The following is a 19396-nucleotide window of genomic DNA, read 5'->3' on the forward strand; positions in this document are numbered from 1 at the left end:
TCCAGGTTTCATGGACTCTTCCAGTTGTTCAGCTCAAATTGATTACTGTTAAGGGGAATTTGAGGGCATTGGGCCAATTTTTAAAGACAAATATGAATTTTTATGGAAATCTCCAAGTATTTTAATGTTGATAACAATTTTTTTAAAAATTAAATACTATATGCATACCCCTGTCTTCCTCCCCATCCCAAAAAAGAGATGACTATTAGCTAGCCACATTGCAATTTCTGTCCTGGACTGCTGAAGGGTCCTTGGGTATACTTAAGGAATATATAAACCTCTTTTTCAAACTGCAGTCAACCTATTATTAATGTAGTAAAGTTAATTTAAATTCATAGGAATCAGTATTTTTAGTAAGCTAAAAAGAATAATTTAGGATGGAATGAATGGAATTGAAGGAAAAAGAGTGAAAAGCAAGAATATTATTTTGAGAAATGTTATATTTATGTGTGTATGTGTACCAAGTGACACAGAAATTGTATTTCTGAGGAGAGTGGCCAAACAAGTTTGGAAATGCATATATATAATTTAGTTCTATTCAGTTTCCCAAATACAGTTGTCCCTCAGTATCCACAAGGGATTGAGTCCAGGACCCTCTATGGGTACCAATATCTTAGGATACTCAAAACCCTTATATACAATAGTGTAATATTTGCATTTATTTTACACACAACATCCTGTATACTTTAAATCATTTCTAAATGACTTATAATACCTTATACAACCTAAATGCTATGAAAGTAGTTATCACACTGTATTATTTTTAATTGTTTTTTTTTTAATGTTTTCAATGGGGGAGTTGGTTGAATCCACAGACAGGGAATTCAGGTACAGGGAGGGCCAACTCTAGTTCTGCACCCACAGAGGATAGGAACATAAAAATGCGGACTCCCTAAGGCCTCCTTCCCCTCCACGTTCTTTCTTCAGTCTTCCTCTAGGGGGAGCTCAAGTTAGCTTTAGCACAGTGTGAAGCCAGTGCAGCGTCTCGCTTCCACTTCTCCAGGGGGCGCTGCAAAGATTTTGGTCGCCAAAGATATCACGGTGCGCGCGTCTGGAAGCATTTCCGCTCTGGAGCATTTTCGTTCCGCCGGGTGCCAGCGTTCCTGTGACGCGTTTCCTGTTGGCCGAGCTGCGCACGTGCGGCCGGAAGGGAAGTAACGTCAGCCTGAGAACTGAGTAGCTGTACTGTGTGGCGCCTTATTCTAGGCACTTGTTGGGCAGAATGTCACACCTGCCGATGAAACTCCTGCGTAAGAAGATCGAGAAGCGGAACCTCAAATTGCGGCAGCGGAACCTAAAGTTTCAGGGTGAGATGCGTTGACTCGCGGTGGCTCAGAAGACCCACGCGCGAGCCCTGGCGCGTTCGGGCGGCCGGGGGCCCAGCTGCTCTGTGTGACGGAGGCAGCTTCCCCTGCAGCGTGTGTGATTGGGGAGAGTGAAAAGGCAGCTTCCACTCGGGACCCGCGCTGCTGCCCACTCGTCGCGTGGCTCCAGCGCTGCTCCTGACCTTTCTGAGCAATCAGTGTCTTCTTACAACGTTAGAGCGGGAGGACTCCCCGTTCACTTCTAGGCTTACGACTAACCCTGCCTTTTGCATTTCCACCTTAGCTTTTGGTTCCCTCACCACCTGCAAGTCGCACCTCACCTCATCCCTCATTTCCGGTTATGCTGCATGAAACGTCTCATTTCCACCCACTTTTCACATCTATTTAATTCCCGTATTTCTTTCCCCAAAAGCCCGTCTGGCTGTTTCCACAGAGCTTCTTTGATACTATTGCCTTCCTCTACCCACTTCCACACGTTCTCGTAGCACTTTCTCACCAGAGCTTCTACGTATTTGTGTCCCGCACAGTGACCTAAATGAAAAGGATTTTATCTGAATGTCACCTTTCTTACCTACCTCATTTGCAGTCCCAGTGTCCTGACAGTGGGGCCACAGATCTTGAAGTAATTGTGTTAACCTGTTGTCCAGGTTAAGATACAAACTCCCCGAGGGAAAGTTTGGAGGCACAGTGCCTTGCCCCAGTTGGTTTTCAACAGACATTAATTGAAAAAAAATTCTGCAGGAGGCAATAGGTTTGTGAATTTTAGGAATATGTTTTGAAATACTCTTGTATTTCTAATTCCTATAGAATAATACTACAGCATTACTACTTTTCAGCGCATATGTAAGTAAATTTGAACAAAAGATGGTGTTTTATCTTTTTCAGTAAACAAACAGGGAACCTTTGGTAAGGACATTCTCAGGTACAGTCATGCATCGCATAACAGGAGGGGGGATACATTGTGAGAAATGTGTCATTAGGGGCTTTTGTCGTTTTGCGAACTTTATCTAGTTACACAAACCTAAATCTACTACACACCCAGGCTACATGATATAGCCTGTTGCTCGTAAGCTGTCATCCTGTACAGCATGTTACTGTACTATACTCAGAGAATTGTAACACAATGGTAAGTGTATGTATGGCTAAATATATCTAAACATAGAAAAGGTACAGTAAAAAGACTATGACATGAGAGATTTAGAAAATGGTACCTCTGTATACAGTACTTACCATGAATGGAGTTTGCAGGACTGGAAGTTACCCTGAGCGAGTCAGTGAGCGGTGAGTGAATGTGAAGGCCTAGAACATTACTGTACACTATAGACTTTATAAACACTGTACACTTGGGCTACACTGTTGAGTTTTTTAATACTTTTATTCTTAAATTAACCTTAGCCTGCTGTAACTTTTACATTATAAACTTGTTAAATTTTAACCTTTTGACTTTAATAACACTTAGCTTACAACACAAGCACATTGTACATACAGCTGTACAAAAAGTTTCCTTTTGTCCTTATTCTATGTGATTTTTATTTTATTTTTTTTTCTTTTTAAGCTTTTTGTTAAAAATGTAAAGACACAGACACATTCAGTTTCACTGTCTTCCGCTTCCACATCTTGTCCCACTGGAAGATCTTCAGGGGCAACAATAGGCATGGAGCTGTCATCTCCTATGATAACAGTGCCTTCTAAAATACCTCTCTCCCTGAGGCTCTTTTACAGTCGACTCATTTTTTTTTAATAAGTAAAAGGAGTAAACTCTAAAATGATGATCAAAAGTATAGTAAACACATAAACAAGTAACATAGTTTATTATCACGTATTATGTATTGTACATAATTATGTGTGCTGTACTTTATACGACTGGCATTACAGTAGATTTGTTTATACTAGCATCACTACAAACATGAGTAATATGTTGCACTACGACATTGCAGTTACTGATGGCACTAGGTGATAGGAATTTTTTAGCTCCGTTATAATCTTATGGAGCCACTGTATATGTTGTCCTTAATTCACAGAAATGTCATTGTGCACGCATTACTGTATTTGCATATGATAAATATTGGAGCAAATAAGTGGTCTTATCAACTGAATTTTCAACTCACTGCAGTCTAGAAGAGTTGGGGTTGAATGTTTTGAAGTGGTATGAAAAATAGTACTTGTGTGAATGAGTTGTAAATGTCTTTTTCAATATATCAGTTAATCATATGTTTATCAAATACTTATGTTTATTCTGTAACTGCCATTATCTGACCTCATCTGTTTAAATATTTGACCTCATTGAAGTTTTCCTGTCCTAGACTCCTTAAAGTCAGATGTACGGTCTTTTGCAGTTAAGAAATCAATATAGCTTTCCCTTTTCCAGTATTTTTTCTTTAAGATAACTTACTTTCCCTATAAGGGAACACCATAAAACTATAAGTTGTTTTAATTACATGAAAGAGAAGAAAATCTAAATAATTTGTGTCAGGAAGCCATGGAAGTTCTCATTTGGGATTTCAGTGTTTCTAAGTAAACTTCTCCTTCTTTGTCACAGTATATGTTCTGTTTATTTAAACAGGGGCCTCAAATCTGACCCTATCGGAAACTCAAAATGGAGATGTATCTGAAGAAACAATGGGAAGTAGAAAGGTTAAAAAATCAAAACAAAAGCCCATGAATGTGGGCTTATCAGAAACTCAAAATGGAGGCATGTCTCAAGAAGCAGTGGGAAATATAAAAGTTACAAAGTCTCCCCAGAAATCCACTGTATTAACCAATGGAGAAGCAGCAATGCAGTCTTCCAATTCAGAATCAAAAAAGAAAAAGAAGAAAAAGAGAAAAATGGTGAATGATGCTGAGCCTGGTAGGTATTTATTATCTTTGAACTTCAGCCATTTAGTTTTTCACAGACGGTTATTGTTCCTCTTTCTATTACTATTGTGTGCACATGACATGAGAATTCCCTGTACTCACCAGTATGTTAGAGATTAGCCTGGTAGCTAATGGAAACATTTTATTGGCAGAAGCGGGGAGTCCATTTCAACTTTTCTCAAAATATTGAGGAATATATTTTTAATTTCACTAACCTTGAAGAAAACCTCTCTCAGAAAAGACTCTCCTTAGAATTCTAGAAATTTTCTCTTCTTTTTAAGTTACCTTTTTTCCTGCTTGATTCTTCCCATTTTCCTTCCATAAATTCCTCCCTTTGAAAGGAATATTAGTTACAAAGTATATAAAGTAGGAAACTTCTGAATAAATGGAACATTAATTTCCAAGTGCTAAGAATGGCAGGAGGAAAAGGAAGGAATGTTTTTTGAAGATGATGGAATTTCAGTAAGCTCGGATGAAAGAATGGACATTATAATTGAGATTTGTATAAGCAGAGATATCAAGGTAGGATAAGATAGGGGTCAGCAAACTATCCCTCCTTCTACCTGTTTTTGTAAATAAAGTTTTACTGGGTCATAGCAATGCCTATTTGGTTGTGTTTATGGCAACAGAGATCATATGACCTGCAAAGCCTAAACTATTTACTATCTGGCCCTTTGCGGAAAGTTTGCCAGCCCCTGAGTTGGAACATCCTATTCATGTATTTTACCTGAAATAAGGGTTTTATTTAGAAAGGGACTTTGAACTTTTCCAAACATGCATTACTGTCTTCATGATGCCTACACACAGAAGTCATTGTAATCCTGTTCTAAAATTATTGCCTTCACAATTCTTGTTTTGAGTATGCCCCAGGAAGTGGTATTATTTCTGCTCCCAAGCATTGAATCACAATGCTGGGCGTTTTAACCTTATGGGTTTTTTGTTTGTTTGTTTGTTTGTTTGTTTTATTATGAGATGGGGTCTCACTGTGTTGTCCAAGCTGGTCTTGAACTCCTGGGCTCAAGTGATCCTCCCACCTCGGCTTCCCAAAGTGCTGGGATTACAGGCAGAAGCCACCACACCCAACCACCTTATGGGTACATTTTAGGAACTATTCCAGGGAAAACAAAATAAGCCATGGAGACCAGCTGAAGATATCTGTGGCTTTTGAACATGTAGGTCCTACAAAGTTGACTCTTTCCTGGAAGGGTGGCCGTCAGGTACAGGGAGGAGACCAGTACTGAGCTACAGAGAGTCCTGGGTTGTGGTCTAAGTTCTTTTCAAACATCACTAATTGCCATATAGTTTTATATAAACACAGCATGTGGTTAATCCATTTGACCCAGAGTCGAACATTGAAAAGAGAAGTGAGAGGTAGGACTGAAAAGGTAGTTGGGGCCACATGAAAGTTGTGAATGTAGAAATGAGGGTGGGAAGAAGCCCTGCCTTTCCTCCCACCCTCATCCCTGATAGCCAAGGCACAGTCCAGTGTATGTCAGCCAGGCAAGTGGGTTGTTGCCCTTCCTTTACAGTCTATCTCTAGTAACATGAAGAGCCTTTGATAGTGATTGGCGTGGGAAGAAAAATGACTACTTATAATGAGTTTTTAAGGATTATGTTAATCAGGTATGCTTCCTTTCCCCTCAGTGGAGTATGTGAAACTTATAATTGGTATGTTTATACTGTTTAGTTGAACAAAAGCCTAAAAGGTTTTGTCACCAAGTCTGTCTGTACCCTGGGTTTTTAAATACAACCACTCATTTTTCACCAAACAGAATTCTTAACAAATTAATACAGCATATACTTAGCTTTTGAAAATATACGTCTTTATATCAGAGATCTTCTGTTTGTTGATCTCATTTGGAATTCTATTTTAAGGAAAAATTTTTTCGGATTTTGTCTTTTAAAACCAAAGATACGAAAAAAGCAAAAACTGAAAACAAAGGGAAATCTGAAGAAGAAAGTGCCGAGACTACTAAAGAAACAGAAAATAATGTGGAGAAGCCAGATAATGATGAAGATGAGAGTGAGGTGCCCAGTCTGCCCCTGGGACTGACAGGTAACGTCCAGGAAGTTTTCTAGAGGTAACTTCTTTAAAATGTGCCTCTCTTAGAGGATTATAGGTTTGAAGGTTCAGTTGTGACTTTCAGTTTACCTGAAAAAAGTAACTATCAACAAGAAACTTTTTTTATATCTTTCTGCTGCTTTTTCTCTTTATCTTCTATTTTGTGGTGTTTTAGTTCTTTTTGTTCCCTGTTTTTTTCCTTTTGTTCATTCCTGACACCAAATATTTTATATGCACACTAGCAGCTTCTAGGATTCCTTGGTTTGTCCTTTTCTGAGTCTCATTCTATGTTGTAATAGGAAAATGATTGGCCCTGTACGAGGTTAACCTCCTTTGGCCTTTGTTCCTTTATAAAGTTGAGTTTAGGCTAGAATTCACTGCTCCTAACCAGATATGTCTAGGAGTTACTTGAGTTGTTTATTTGGTTTGGGTTGGTTGGTTTGTTAAAATGTTGAGGCCCAACCCTAGACCTGCTTAATCCAAATTGCAAACGTTTTGGTAGTAGCTCTCGAGCAGGGAAATTCGCCCCCCGAGTAAGAAGAGTAACTCTTCCTGGTTTGCCCAGAACTTTAACAGTTTTAGCACTGAAAGTTCTGAATCCCAAGAATCTCCTCTGTCCCTAGCCTACTGAGAAGATTGGTCATCCTAAGCCTAGGAGACATTTTTGGTTCTCAGAGCTAGGAGCAGTCTGCTGGGATCTGGTGAGTAGAGGTCAGAAACACTGCATAATATCTTATAAGGCACAGGATAGTGTTTCACAGCAAAGAATTATTCAGCCCAGATGTCAGCAATGCCAAGGTCAAGAGTGATTGGTTTACACCCTGGGCATGTGGAGTATGGGGAACCCCCAGGTGATTTTGATGCCTTCTGCTGAACCACCACTGTATTACTTGATACGTAGGCTCAGCCTAACATTCTGTGGCTGTATCTGACTCTTCTGTGTCTTGTTGGAGTGAGATTAACAGGTTTTTTTTTTATTATTGACTTCACACTCAGTTTTTATTAATGCTCAATGTTTTCACTTTTATATCAGATTTCTTAAACATTTCATTTATCTCTGGACTCTCATTATTTTCCTTGTTTTGGTATTTTTATTTTATATAAATTCCTTGGTTATACCTCCTCTCTACCCCTTGTTTTGTTATAGTATGGTCTCTGGACTATAACTCACACAGCCGTTAACAGTGGAGAAACTTGAAAGATATAGGGTCTTTTTCTTGATATTATCACATATGAATAATTAAGGTTTAGCCTTTTCTTACTGCGGGAAGCTTTTCTAAGCAAAATAGATTTAGGCAACTGTAGCAATACTTTTTTAAAAAAAAAGATAAATTTGCTAATGATAAATTGTCTTCTGTTTAGGAGCTTTTGAGGATACTTCGTTTGCTTCTCTATGTAATCTTGTCAATGAAAACACTCTGAAGGCAATAAAAGAAATGGGTTTTACAAACATGACTGAAATTCAGCATAAAAGTATCAGACCACTTCTGGAAGGCAGGTATGATTAACATTGAAGCTTAGATATTGGCATCTATTTTTAGAACTAGTAGATGATAAAGAACATACCAGTATATTCTGTTGATTTTGTACTATATGTTGGGTCATGTATCCAGCATACATTAAAGGCTTTAAGTTAATTACTGATGTTTGAAGGAAAGTGTTCGAAAGGTGTTCTGCTTCTGTTGTAGCACAGTTCTGACTTATGATTTCAGTATATAACCCAGGTGATCAATTTCAGCACTGTAGACGTTTCTTGTTCATGTTCTAGCCGTAGTGCCTAAGGTGTGTGTATGTAGTACGTCGTAAATGAGTAGGCTAAATGTCTTTCTCCTTTCCCTTTTTAATATTTAGGGATCTTCTAGCAGCTGCAAAAACAGGCAGTGGTAAAACCCTGGCTTTTCTCATCCCTGCAGTTGAACTCATTGTTAAGTTAAGGTTCATGCCCAGGAATGGTAAGCGTTCATCTGCTTGTTTCTGCCATTATTTCACTAGAGGTTTATTGTAGCTGTTACGGACTCAGTGGTGACAGCCACATTTAGACTTCTACCATATATCATTTTTAGGAACAGGAGTCCTTATTCTCTCACCTACTAGAGAACTAGCCATGCAAACCTTTGGTGTTCTTAAGGAGCTGATGACTCACCACGTGCATACCTATGGCTTGATAATGGGTGGCAGTAACAGATCTGCTGAAGCACAGAAACTTGGTAATGGGATCAACATCATTGTGGCCACACCAGGCCGTCTGCTGGACCATATGCAGGTAAGAGATGTAGTGCTTGTCTCATTGTCTTGTATGAAACATAAACTGACAACTAATGGTTGTTCTTTGTCCTTTGTTTTGTTAGAATACCCCAGGATTTATGTATAAAAACCTGCAGTGTCTGGTTATTGATGAAGCTGATCGTATCTTGGATGTGGGGTTTGAAGAGGAATTAAAGCAAATTATTAAACTTTTGCCAAGTAAGTAGGTAGCATCTGCATTTGGTTTGCAAAGTATCTGTTGGAGGTAGATAAGAGTTGTTCCTATAGAAAAACTGTACTAATGCCAGAACTTTACCATAGCCAAGTGAGGTAGTTGTGCCAATTAACCCGAAAGGTAATTTGGAATACAAGCATCAAATGTATTATAACTTGATATAATAGTTTTGCTGTTTTAGAAGTTATAAGGCACGTTAAGCAGTCTTCACATAGGTCCTGTCCTCCACCTCTTGCCCATTCTTACCTCATCTAACATCCCCCAAGAAGCCGCAGATTTTTTGCCTTACTTGTACATACCTTGGTTATAGTACTTGCAACATTATGAACTGGTTATAACTAAGACCATGGTTTCCTTCATTATATAATTTATTTTTAAAAGCTTTGTCAAAGTATAATTATATCTACCCATTTATAATGTACAATTTGATGTTCTTTGATTTGTTTACCACTGTGACATCATCGCTGCAATCAAGAAAATGAACATGTCCATCACAGTCAAAGGTTTCCTCCTGCCCCTTTTCAATTTCTCCCTCCCACCCCTCCTTACACGTATACCTTGTCCCCAGGTGAGTATTGATCTGTTTTCTGCTGCTAGATTAGGTTGCATTTTCTGGAAATAAAGTTGCTGTGAACAGTCATCTACAACTCTTTGTAGAGGCATATATCTCCTTTTCTCTTAAGTAAACCTAGGAGTGTCCTAGTTGGTATATGTTTAGTGTATGTTTAACTTTTTAAAAAACTGCCAGATGTTTTCCAAAGCGGCTGTACCATTTAACATTCCTATGAGCAGTGTATGAAAGTTCCAGTTCCTCCTATTAAGTCTTGACCATCAGGTAATGTTAGCCCCAAGTTTGTTCTCTTTTAAAGTTGTGGTATTCTTGTCCTTTGCTTTTCTATATAAATTTTAGAATTGGTTTGTCAGTTTCTCCCCCTTCCCTCCAAAAAAGTCTCAGATCTTGACTGAGATTTTATTGAATAGAGATTATTGGAGGAAGACAGTATTGAGTCATGTAACCCATAATAAGGTATATCTCCATGTATTCGATATTTTCTCTATCATATTTAGGGGGGTTCGGGATACAGGTTTATTCACATCTTTTGTCAGATTTATCTCTGAGTGTTTCATTAAAATTTCAAGTTCCAATTGCTCGTTGCTTTAATATATACATATATACACACACACATATACACACATATATATGCACACACAGTTGAATTTTATATTGATCTTGTATCTAGCAAGACAGTTAATCCTGTACCGAATGATTATTCAGTATGACTTTCCAGATGACTGTAGCCTTTTGGATTTTCTATATAGGCAATCATGTGCAGATAAAGACAGTTTCACCTCTTTATTTAATTTTTTTTTCCTGCCTGATTGCCCTGGCCAGAACCTCCAGTATGGTGCTGAATAGAAGTGGTGAGAGCAGACATCCTTATCTTGGTTCTGATCTTAGGGGAAAGCATTCAGTCTTTTACCATTAACTACATATGAAGTTAGCTGCAGGTTTTATATAGATGCCTTTTATCAGATTGAGGAAGATCCCTTCTGTTCCTAGTTTGCTGAGGATTTTTAATCAGAAATAGATGGTCAAATGTTTTTTTTCTGTCTGCTGAAATAATCATGTTTTTTCTTTAGTTAACATAGTGAATTGTATTGGTTGATTTTTCAAATGTTGAACCAACCTGCATTTCTAGAATAAACCTGATCCATTTCTAGAATAAACATGAGCCATTATCCTTTTTATATATTGCTGAATTCACTTTACTAAAATTCTATTTCAAATTTTGTATATGTGCTCACGAATTGTATTGGTCCATAGTTTTCTTGTCATGTCATGTCAGGTTTTTGTATAGTGTAATGACTGACTTCGAAGAATGAGTTGACATGTAAGCCCTCTTTTTAATTTATTGGAGAGTTTGTGAATAATTGATGTTTTTTTCTTAAATGTTCAGTAGAATTCACCAATGGAATCCATTTGGGCCTGGAATTTTCTTTACATGAAGGTTATAACTAAAATTTCTTTAGTAGATATAAGGCTATTTAAAGTTTTCCTATTTTCTTCAGTTGTTTGTCTTCAAAGGAGTTTGTCCATTTCATCTAAGTCCTCAAATTTATAGACCTAGTGTTTCATGATATACCCTTTTTACCTTTTGTAATATTTGTAGATTCTGTAGAAACATCATATCTCCCATTTCTGATATCTCTACCTAGAATATTTGTAGTTGTGAGGCAATTGTAAAGATTCCCTAAAAGATTGGGGTTATTTTTATATGTATCTGTTTCAGCACGTAGACAGACTATGCTCTTTTCTGCCACCCAAACTCGAAAAGTTGAAGACCTGGCAAGGATTTCTCTGAAAAAGGAGCCATTGTATGTTGGCGTTGATGATGATAAAGCGAATGCAACAGTGGATGGTCTTGAACAGGTACTTTTTATCAATAACTGAAAACTGTAGGGATCTTACTTGGTGTTTTTATGTAATTGTTGGAAGGATCATTCAGAAAGCAAATGGGTTAATGAACTTTTAAAATGCTGTAGGTGAGGCATGACAGTTTACACACTGTGTTTATCAGTGCTCTTGATGAAATTACACAAGTTAGGAAATGGAAAATGTCCACTTGGTTCATTTGTATCTGTCTGCTTAAACGCTTTCTAGGGATATGTTGTTTGTCCTTCTGAAAAGAGATTCCTTCTGCTCTTTACATTCCTTAAGAAGAACCGAAAGAAGAAGCTTATGGTCTTCTTTTCATCTTGTATGTCTGTGAAATACCACTATGAGTTGCTGAACTACATTGATTTGCCCGTCTTGGCCATTCATGTAAGTGATGATGATGAGCTCATTGAAAACAGGGTATGCTTATTAAATCCTATAGATTGTAGGATTGGAGGTATTGCCCTCTCCTGGAAACATTGTTCTGAGTAGTTTGATCACCACTAGATGATGGATCCTGTGTGGGGGAGCGCTGCTGGGTGTGGAGGGGTATGAGGACTTTCGAAGAGTGCAAGACACCATCCTCCTTGAGGGGCTTGCGGAACAGTTGGGGAAATAGGACATAGGCCAAGGGATGAGCTCGAAATAGGGTAACAGTTCCACAATTTGGGGGTTCTACTGCTAGTCTTCCTCAAGATTCCAGCTCTAATGGATGTTTTTATTTAATTCTAGGGAAAGCAAAAGCAAAATAAGCGTACAACCACATTCTTCCAGTTCTGCAATGCAGATTCGGGAACACTATTGTGTACGGATGTGGCAGCGAGAGGACTAGACATTCCTGAAGTCGACTGGATTGTTCAGTATGACCCTCCGGATGACCCTAAGGTAACTGGCATCTTTGGAATATCTTCAGAATGACTCTGCATTAAAAGTTCACTTATTCTCCCAGTTCCCTGACGGAAACTGCATTCCACATTCAAGGTAAAGATCCCTACTATACAGTGACTGCAGTATTTCTCTGGTATTGAAAAGTACTTAAGGCTTTTCAGGGCTCAAACGGGCTGTGCCAGAGGATTGAAAAGGATCAGTGGGACTTAAGTTATGAAAATGAGATCCTTGGAATGATCTCTTAAGAACAGCAGATGCCTGAAGGAAATAAAATTGCTTAAGGAAGTAGATAAACTTCTGTAGTATATGTGGTAGAATAAGCTTCATTGAGAAGTATTTTCAACAAACACTGGATTAAAGCCGTTTTGATGATGAAGCACACATAATACTCATTTTATTAGATCGCTGTTAATGCAAACATCATGTCCAGCCTTTTTTTTTTTTTTTTTTTTTTTTTTTTGGGCCTCAATCATTGGCCTATTGGGGGTGATGTGCACAGAGCGATTGCTGGCCCAGCTTTGTGGGGGTGTGGTGAAGGTGTGTGTGGCCCAGCACCGTGGGACTACACCATCTCAGTACAGACATGCACATACTCAGGATGCAGATACGCAAATGGGCTCATGTGGAAGTCACTGCGTTAACTCAGATTTTCTTTCTCCACCAAAGGAATATATTCATCGTGTGGGTAGAACAGCCAGAGGCCTAAATGGGAGAGGGCATGCCTTGCTCATTTTGCGCCCAGAAGAATTGGGTTTTCTTCGCTACTTGAAACAATCCAAGGTAAAGATCTGTACTTGGAGAAAGATTTCTCTTGGTGTAGGGATTGTTAGCAAGCAACATTTCTACATGTGTCAGAGGAGTCTCGAGTCTGGCCAGTGCTGTTACAACCATTCTTATGGCAATTAAGCAAGTAAGGTTTTATGTACTTCTAGCCCAAGAAGTGAGCACAGAAGGAACTGCCCACATGGCTCGGCTTTCTAGCTCTGTTACCCAGCAACACCTCTGTGTCCCAGCCTCTCCTTTCCTGTTCCCTCCAGCCCTCTTTGAAACCTTCTCCACTCCTTTGAAGCTCCCTCACACCTAGTCATCTCTGCTTCTGCTCCCCTTCTTTCCTCTTACCTCATGTGAAGCAGTGGGGAATCCTTGTTCGCTCTAGCCTCTGCCTCCTCCCCTGCCCTCTGTCTCCTATTCATCAACTCTTGGCCTACAGTCTCTTCCTTGCGGTTGGCGCTTTACCATCTCAAATTTCTCACTGTAAAAAAGTAACTTCAACCTTAAACCTGTTCTTCTACCCCTGCCTGCAGGAGCTACTGTCTGTTGCCTTTCCTCAGTCAGCCTTACTGGAAAAATGGCTTATATTCTTGCCATTTACCTCCCTCTCAGTCCCTAACCAGCCTAATTTGGCTTTAGCTTTCTACTATCACACCAGAATTGAATCCATCAGGACCCTAAGTGGCCTCTTCATTGCTAGGCCATGTGGGGGATGCATATCAGGCCTTCTCCTGCCTGACATTTACATCCTCATTGGCCTTTCTGGCATAGTCTTGATGATAGGCTTCCTCTACCCTGTAACTGCAGGCAGTTCCCTGAAATTGCTCTACAGCTTTTGCACACTTTGTCCAGAATGCTTGGTTTCAGCTCGCCTCTGTCTTTGCTGGGAAGCCATCGCTGATCTCCTGCCTCCTTGTTCCCACAGCACAGGTGCTCATCAGGTTGACATTTCTTTCTTTCTTTCTTTTTTTATTATTATTACACTTTAAGTTCTAGGGTACATGTGCACCATGTGCAGGTTTGTTACATATGTATTCATGTGCCATGTTGGTGTGCTGCACCCATAAACTCGTCATATACGTTAGGTATATATCCTAATGCTATCCCTTCCCCCTCCCCCCACCCCACGACAGGCCCCGGTGTGTGATATTCACCACCCTGTGTCCAAGTGTTCTCATTGTTCATTTCCCACCTGTGAGTGAGAACATGCGGTGTTTGGTTTTCTGTCCTTGCAATAGTTTGCTCAGAATGATGGTTTCCCGTGTCATCCATGTCCCTACAAAGGACATGAACTCATCCTTTTTTATGGCTGCATAGTATTCCATGGTGTGTATGTGCCACATTTTCTTAATCCAGTCTGTCATTGATGGGCATTTGGGTTGGTTCCAAGTCTTTGTTATTGTGAATAAACATACATGTGCATGTGTCTTTATAGCAGCATGATTTATAATCCTTTGGGTATATACCCAGTAATGGGATGGCCGGGTCAAATGGTATTTCTAGGTCTAGATCCTTGAGGAATCGTCACACTGTCTTCCACAATGGATGAACTAGTTTACAGTCCCACCAACAGTGTAAAAGTGTTCCTGTTTCTCCACATCTCCTCCAGCACCTGTTGTTTCCTGACTTTTTAATGATCGCCATTTTAACTGGTGTGAGATGGTATCTCACTGTGATTTTTATTTGGATTTCTCTGATGGCCAGTGATGATGAGCATATTTTCATGTCTGTTGGCTGCCTAAATGTCTTCTTTTGAGAAGTGTGTGTTCATATCTTTCGCCCACTTTTTGATTGGGTTGTTTGATTTTTTCTTGTAAATTTGTTTAAGTTCTTAGTAGATTCTGGATATTAGTCCTAGCCAAAATTGACAAATGGGATCTAATTAAAGAGCTTCTGCACAGCAAAAGAAACTACCATCAGAGTGAACAGGCAACCTACAGAATGGGAGAAAATTTTTGCAATCTACCTATCTGACAAAGGGCTAATATCCAGAATCTACAGGTTGACATTTCATTACTTATCTTTCTCCCCCTCAAGACGGCAAGCTCTCTGAGGGCAGAGTCCATGAGTTAGGTACCTATTTTCTCTCTAGCACCTGGCACAGGCCTGTTGCTTTTCTAGTTATCTAATGAGTGATAACTGATGGCAGATCCATCCTGTAGGAGTTTGTGGTCATCATGGCCTCCAGTGTCACAAGCCTCAATACAGGACTGTGGGGGTATTAGGGCCCCTCTTCTGACATGGAGAAAAGGGGCTGATGGCCCTTCTGACTAGAAGCTTCAAGCTGATTCATGGTTGCAAATAGTCAGGATTATAGAGATTCTTACAGAAAAGTGCTTTACTGACTGTGTCCCTATCCAGTTCCTTGCCTTTCAGAAAGAAAGAAGTGCAGATTGCCTAACTCAGCAGAGCAAAGATGTAACTTTCCCATCAACATTGGGAGACTAGAAAAAGCAGATTTTCCTTTCTGTCCTGAGGGAATTTCATAGGCCGGTTCATCCTTCCCTGTCTTCAGTACCCAGTATCGGAATGCTGATCATCCTGGTTTACTAATCTTAATACTTTTGATTTCTAGGTTCCATTAAGTGAATTTGACTTTTCCTGGTCTAAAATTTCTGACATTCAGTCTCAGGTATGTGCTTTTTAAACGTTTGTGAGTAAACAGGAACCTTGTCCCAGCACTCTGTTTGTAGTGATTCACTGGGCAATCACTGTCCTTTGAAGTCTACCCTGTCCTAAAGTGAGGATCAGGCTGTGTAGTGTATAAGGTTTCTTGCTATTCTAGTTATCACCACTCTGTGCCCTCTTTAAATGTTTTCCATGGAGTGGCTTTGCTCTAGGATATTTAAAATCTGGTGTTTTGGAGGTTTTTGTTTGTTTTTGTTTATTAAAACCAGTGTTTCTTTCTATTTCAGCTTGAGAAATTGATTGAAAAGAATTACTTTCTTCATAAGTCAGCCCAGGAAGCATATAAGTCATACATACGAGCCTATGATTCCCATTCTCTGAAACAGATCTTTAATGTTAATAACCTAAATTTGCCTCAGGTTGCTCTGTCATTTGGTTTCAAGGTGCCTCCCTTCGTTGATCTGAGTATCCTTTTCTTTAATGAAGTTATCCTGTGACTAAGGAACAAAAGCTTGACAGAGGGGCATTTGGGGCTTTGCAGTGGATTGGTATGTGTTCTGGCTCAGACTGGAGGCTCCAGTGTTCACCCTGGTCGATGTCTGCTTTTCTGTGCTAGCACAGGACATAGAGGTTGGATGGGGTAAGCAGGGCTTAATCATTAGGATGGGGTTACAGGGACAAGGCAGCTTATGCCTTGAGCCTTCAAAAGACAAAGAAATTTGACTGTCAAGGAGAGACAGAGACAGTTGTGTGTTCCAGGCAGAAACACAGGTTAAAAAAATCAAAACTTCAGTGTTTGCTGAGGCTGCACTGTGCAGGGTACTTAGGTGAATGGGGTGTTTTGAAGCTAAAGAGAGGATGGGACCTTTCAAGGAGTTTTAATCATCTTAGAACCCCTGAAGGATTTTATGCAAGAAAGTGGCAAGTTCAGCAAAAGAAAATAAAACTTAGGTGTTGCTTAAGATAAAAGGCAGGAGTACTTCCAGTTGCTTCAGTTGTGATTTATAATTTGTGCCTTTCAGAAGAAGAAACTGAGCAGCTGAAATGAGGCCTGTGCTTCAGTGCCATAGGGGTAACTTCTGAGGGAACTAGAGGACCAAATTTTGGGTCACCATCCCCATTGTCAGCATTGAGTAAATGTCAGCTGAAATGAATGTATGTCGAGTCCTGTGGAAGGAAGAGCAGCTCCTTCACTTAGGCATTCCTAAATCAATTCCGAAGAGAAATGATAGTCATTTGTTTTGACACAGGAGGTGTTTTTTTAATGTGCTCCTACCAACTTCCTGATTAAACTCATAAATCCTTATTCACTGTCATGAATTTCATCGTGTGGAAGAAATAATTAATATGACTATTACACACCGAAGTTTAAAATCATACCTGCTAATTTAAGTCCACAGTCACGTGGCCACTCCTAATTTTCTGGAAATTTATTGCATAGGCTTATGTTCCCACATTTTCATTGTTGAGAATGGGGTTGTGGAGGAACAGTAGTGTTCATGCCGGTTTTTTTCTCTGTGTAGATGTTAGATTGGAGTTCATTATCTTTTTTGCTTGATTTCCTTAATGTTTGCCTCCAGACGTCAACAGTAATGAAGGCAAGCAGAAAAAGCGAGGAGGTGGTGGTGGATTTGGCTACCAGAAAACCAAGAAAGTTGAGAAATCCAAAATCTTTAAACACATTAGCAAGAAATCATCTGACAGCAGGCAGTTCTCTCACTGAACACATGCCTTCCTTTCATCTTGAATAACTTTGTCCTAAAATGAATTTTTTTTCCCCTTGATTTAACAGGATTTTTGTAGACTTTAGAATTTGGACTTACCTAACAAGAGTATAAATTGACTTGGGTTGCAAGCACTGAGCACTGTTACTTCTATCACGTCTCTCTTTTATTTCTGGGATATAAAACAGGCTTTAAGTTTCTTGGTTGCCCAAGGGCAGAGCAAGGAATATCTGGTGTTTCTTGTGATGATAATATTTTAATTTTAAATATCCCTCCCTCATACAAGTGTATGTTACCATTTTAATATAATTCTTTTTGTACCTTTCCTTCTTGTTTTGCGAAGATTTTTGTGGCATGGATTGCTGTGCTCACTGCTGTAAAAGGTGACCTAGTGTACTGGGCAGCTGGTGGCGGTGCAGAAAAGAGTCTCAGGTTATTTTTTGTTTTTAGTTATTTCTTGGACCTTGACAGTATCTAATGACTCCTCCTGAAAATGCTGCAGTATAAAAGAGCAAAGAGCTTTGGGAAATACCTAAGAAGCACCTTAAGATTAGGGTGGCATTGCTTTTATAGATTCTTGATTTTAAAGCAACAGGCCTTTCTCAGGTGTTGCATTTTTTGGAGCAAAAACTATGGGTTGTAATTTGAATAAAGTGTCACTAAGCAGTTATAACGTTTGATGGCTGGGGGGTAGGAAGAGGATGGAATTGAGATGTTTGAGCCTCATTTACATCAATAGAGGTGTAATGTACTGCATTTCTTCATTTGGTAACATAACAAAGACTTTCATACAAAGAACGATGATGCTCCTCATTAAGATTTGTTTAATTCAAGGTGGTTTGGATTTGGTAAGCCTTTGCACTCTGTAGAGTACTTAGAAGACAAGGGCAACTTACTTGGAGTTAGAGCCAAGCTGTCAGACGGTGCCCAGCACACATTAATGTTAGCTTCTTTCTGAGAAAAAAATACCTCTTCCAGGCCCTGAAACAAAAAATACATTTGCTGTGAAGATTGAAAATGAACAAAGTTAGAAAAAAAAACAGCAAAATCAGTGATTTAGTCAGATGAGTTTTTCGTTGTAGGAGCACTTGATTTCTAGTGTGTTTTGTACAGTATATAACTACAAGATAGTACATTTTGTAGCAGTTCAAAGCCAAAGTTGCTAGCATCATTTTGCTGTTGTGCCAGTTAATCATAGGATCCCATTAAATAAGTGTGCTAACATCGAATATAGAGAAAACTGGTAAAGAACATTCCAGTAGGAAAAGAAAAGAACAATCTTCCATTTCTGGGCTTGGCCACCATCACCCTGGTCGGACCTGTCCTGGACTTCCAACCTTGACTGCTGAGCTCCTGGCTTAGCTTCTTGGGTTCCTAATTCCTGGTGTTTAATAATTCTCTCCACGATCATGTTTTTCTGATTTTTTTTTTCAGAAATAATGTTTTTTAAAAGACAAAAACAAAGGGAAGAATATTTAATTACTGAGCAGAAGTAAATACTGTTGGCATTTTGTACATAATCTAATTTTTATATGCATGTTCATGCTTTTTAATTTTTTTATCAAAAATTAAGTCATCTACCTACTACTTGTAACCAGCTTGTTTCATAACATGTTATTTTCCTGTGTCATTAAATAATTACTTCAATGTTGTATTTCGTTTATGGATGCTTTGTTGACCCTTGTTTGGTCTGCCAGGATTTAGGTTCAAGATACCTACCTGAATGTGCCAAACTGGCTGTCCCTATCTCAGTATGTCTTGTGCTCAGTAGTCTTGAGATTGTTTACCTCTAGTATGAGTCAGTCTCTAGAGGTTTTGTGAGAAAAGCATATAAACAAAGTGGACAGGGTTGGCCCTGCTGTATGAGAACTTACTTCAGGTCCATTAGCAGCCTCATCTATGATCTCCATTACCTGTAGTCACAATAAGATACTTTGAGAGGCCACATTTACATGACTTTTTTTACAGTATATTATAATTGTTTTATGTTAATCTCAGTGTGCTAATTTATAAACTAAACTTTGTCACAGGTAATGTATAGGAAAGAACAGAGAGAGGGTTCAGTGTTGTCCACAGTTTCAGACATCCACTGGGGATCCAGGAATGTATCCCTGGAGGATAAGGGGGAACTACCGTATTCGCTGGGTGCTGTTTGTGATTGTAGTGGCAGGATGGTCCAGGCTAGGGACAAGAGACAACCAGACTTGACCAGCCTGGCCAGATTCA

The 19396-nt window shown here is 39.3% G+C and overlaps 1 protein-coding gene across 1 annotated transcript, besides 9 other annotated features; it reads left to right on the plus strand.

The window, feature by feature from the left end:
- Positions 898-1192: an enhancer, noted in NCBI's record as "tiled region #195; HepG2 Activating DNase unmatched - State 1:Tss, and K562 Activating DNase unmatched - State 1:Tss". NCBI's record gives its function as "activates a minimal TATA promoter and a strong SV40 promoter by Sharpr-MPRA in HepG2 and K562 cells {active_cell/tissue: HepG2 | K562}" and the evidence as "EXISTENCE:reporter gene assay evidence [ECO:0000049][PMID:27701403]".
- Positions 898-1457: a biological region, named in NCBI's record as "Sharpr-MPRA regulatory region 195".
- Positions 920-1457: an enhancer, noted in NCBI's record as "NANOG-H3K27ac-H3K4me1 hESC enhancer chr2:118572051-118572588 (GRCh37/hg19 assembly coordinates)". NCBI's record gives its function as "activates a minimal SCP1, AML or CMV promoter by ChIP-STARR-seq in primed H9 embryonic stem cells {active_cell/tissue: H9 hESC(primed)}" and the evidence as "EXISTENCE:reporter gene assay evidence [ECO:0000049][PMID:30033119]".
- Positions 1003-1132: an enhancer, noted in NCBI's record as "active region_16435". NCBI's record gives its function as "activates an Ori minimal core promoter by ATAC-STARR-seq in GM12878 lymphoblastoid cells {active_cell/tissue: GM12878}" and the evidence as "EXISTENCE:reporter gene assay evidence [ECO:0000049][PMID:35858748]".
- On the plus strand, positions 1136-18822 carry DDX18 (DEAD-box helicase 18). The gene is made up of 14 exons (NM_006773.4): positions 1136-1307; positions 3889-4173; positions 6094-6237; positions 7606-7741; positions 8095-8195; positions 8307-8506; positions 8592-8706; positions 11014-11153; positions 11385-11546; positions 11892-12044; positions 12714-12827; positions 15394-15450; positions 15734-15911; positions 17027-18822. Exons 1-14 carry the CDS (start codon positions 1223-1225, stop codon positions 17167-17169), a joined length of 2013 nt encoding a protein of 670 aa, NP_006764.3. The 5' UTR covers positions 1136-1222; the 3' UTR covers positions 17170-18822.
- Positions 1263-1312: an enhancer, noted in NCBI's record as "active region_16436". NCBI's record gives its function as "activates an Ori minimal core promoter by ATAC-STARR-seq in GM12878 lymphoblastoid cells {active_cell/tissue: GM12878}" and the evidence as "EXISTENCE:reporter gene assay evidence [ECO:0000049][PMID:35858748]".
- Positions 1333-1382: an enhancer, noted in NCBI's record as "active region_16437". NCBI's record gives its function as "activates an Ori minimal core promoter by ATAC-STARR-seq in GM12878 lymphoblastoid cells {active_cell/tissue: GM12878}" and the evidence as "EXISTENCE:reporter gene assay evidence [ECO:0000049][PMID:35858748]".
- Positions 1458-1993: an enhancer, noted in NCBI's record as "NANOG-H3K27ac-H3K4me1 hESC enhancer chr2:118572589-118573124 (GRCh37/hg19 assembly coordinates)". NCBI's record gives its function as "activates a minimal SCP1, AML or CMV promoter by ChIP-STARR-seq in primed H9 embryonic stem cells {active_cell/tissue: H9 hESC(primed)}" and the evidence as "EXISTENCE:reporter gene assay evidence [ECO:0000049][PMID:30033119]".
- Positions 7029-7078: a silencer, noted in NCBI's record as "silent region_11892". NCBI's record gives its function as "represses an Ori minimal core promoter by ATAC-STARR-seq in GM12878 lymphoblastoid cells {active_cell/tissue: GM12878}" and the evidence as "EXISTENCE:reporter gene assay evidence [ECO:0000049][PMID:35858748]".
- Positions 7089-7158: a silencer, noted in NCBI's record as "silent region_11893". NCBI's record gives its function as "represses an Ori minimal core promoter by ATAC-STARR-seq in GM12878 lymphoblastoid cells {active_cell/tissue: GM12878}" and the evidence as "EXISTENCE:reporter gene assay evidence [ECO:0000049][PMID:35858748]".
- Positions 18823-19396: the final 574 nt, after the last annotated feature.

The sequence above is a fragment of the Homo sapiens genome, chromosome 2, assembly GCF_000001405.40.
Source record: "Homo sapiens chromosome 2, GRCh38.p14 Primary Assembly".
NCBI classification, from domain to species: Eukaryota; Metazoa; Chordata; class Mammalia; order Primates; family Hominidae; genus Homo; species Homo sapiens.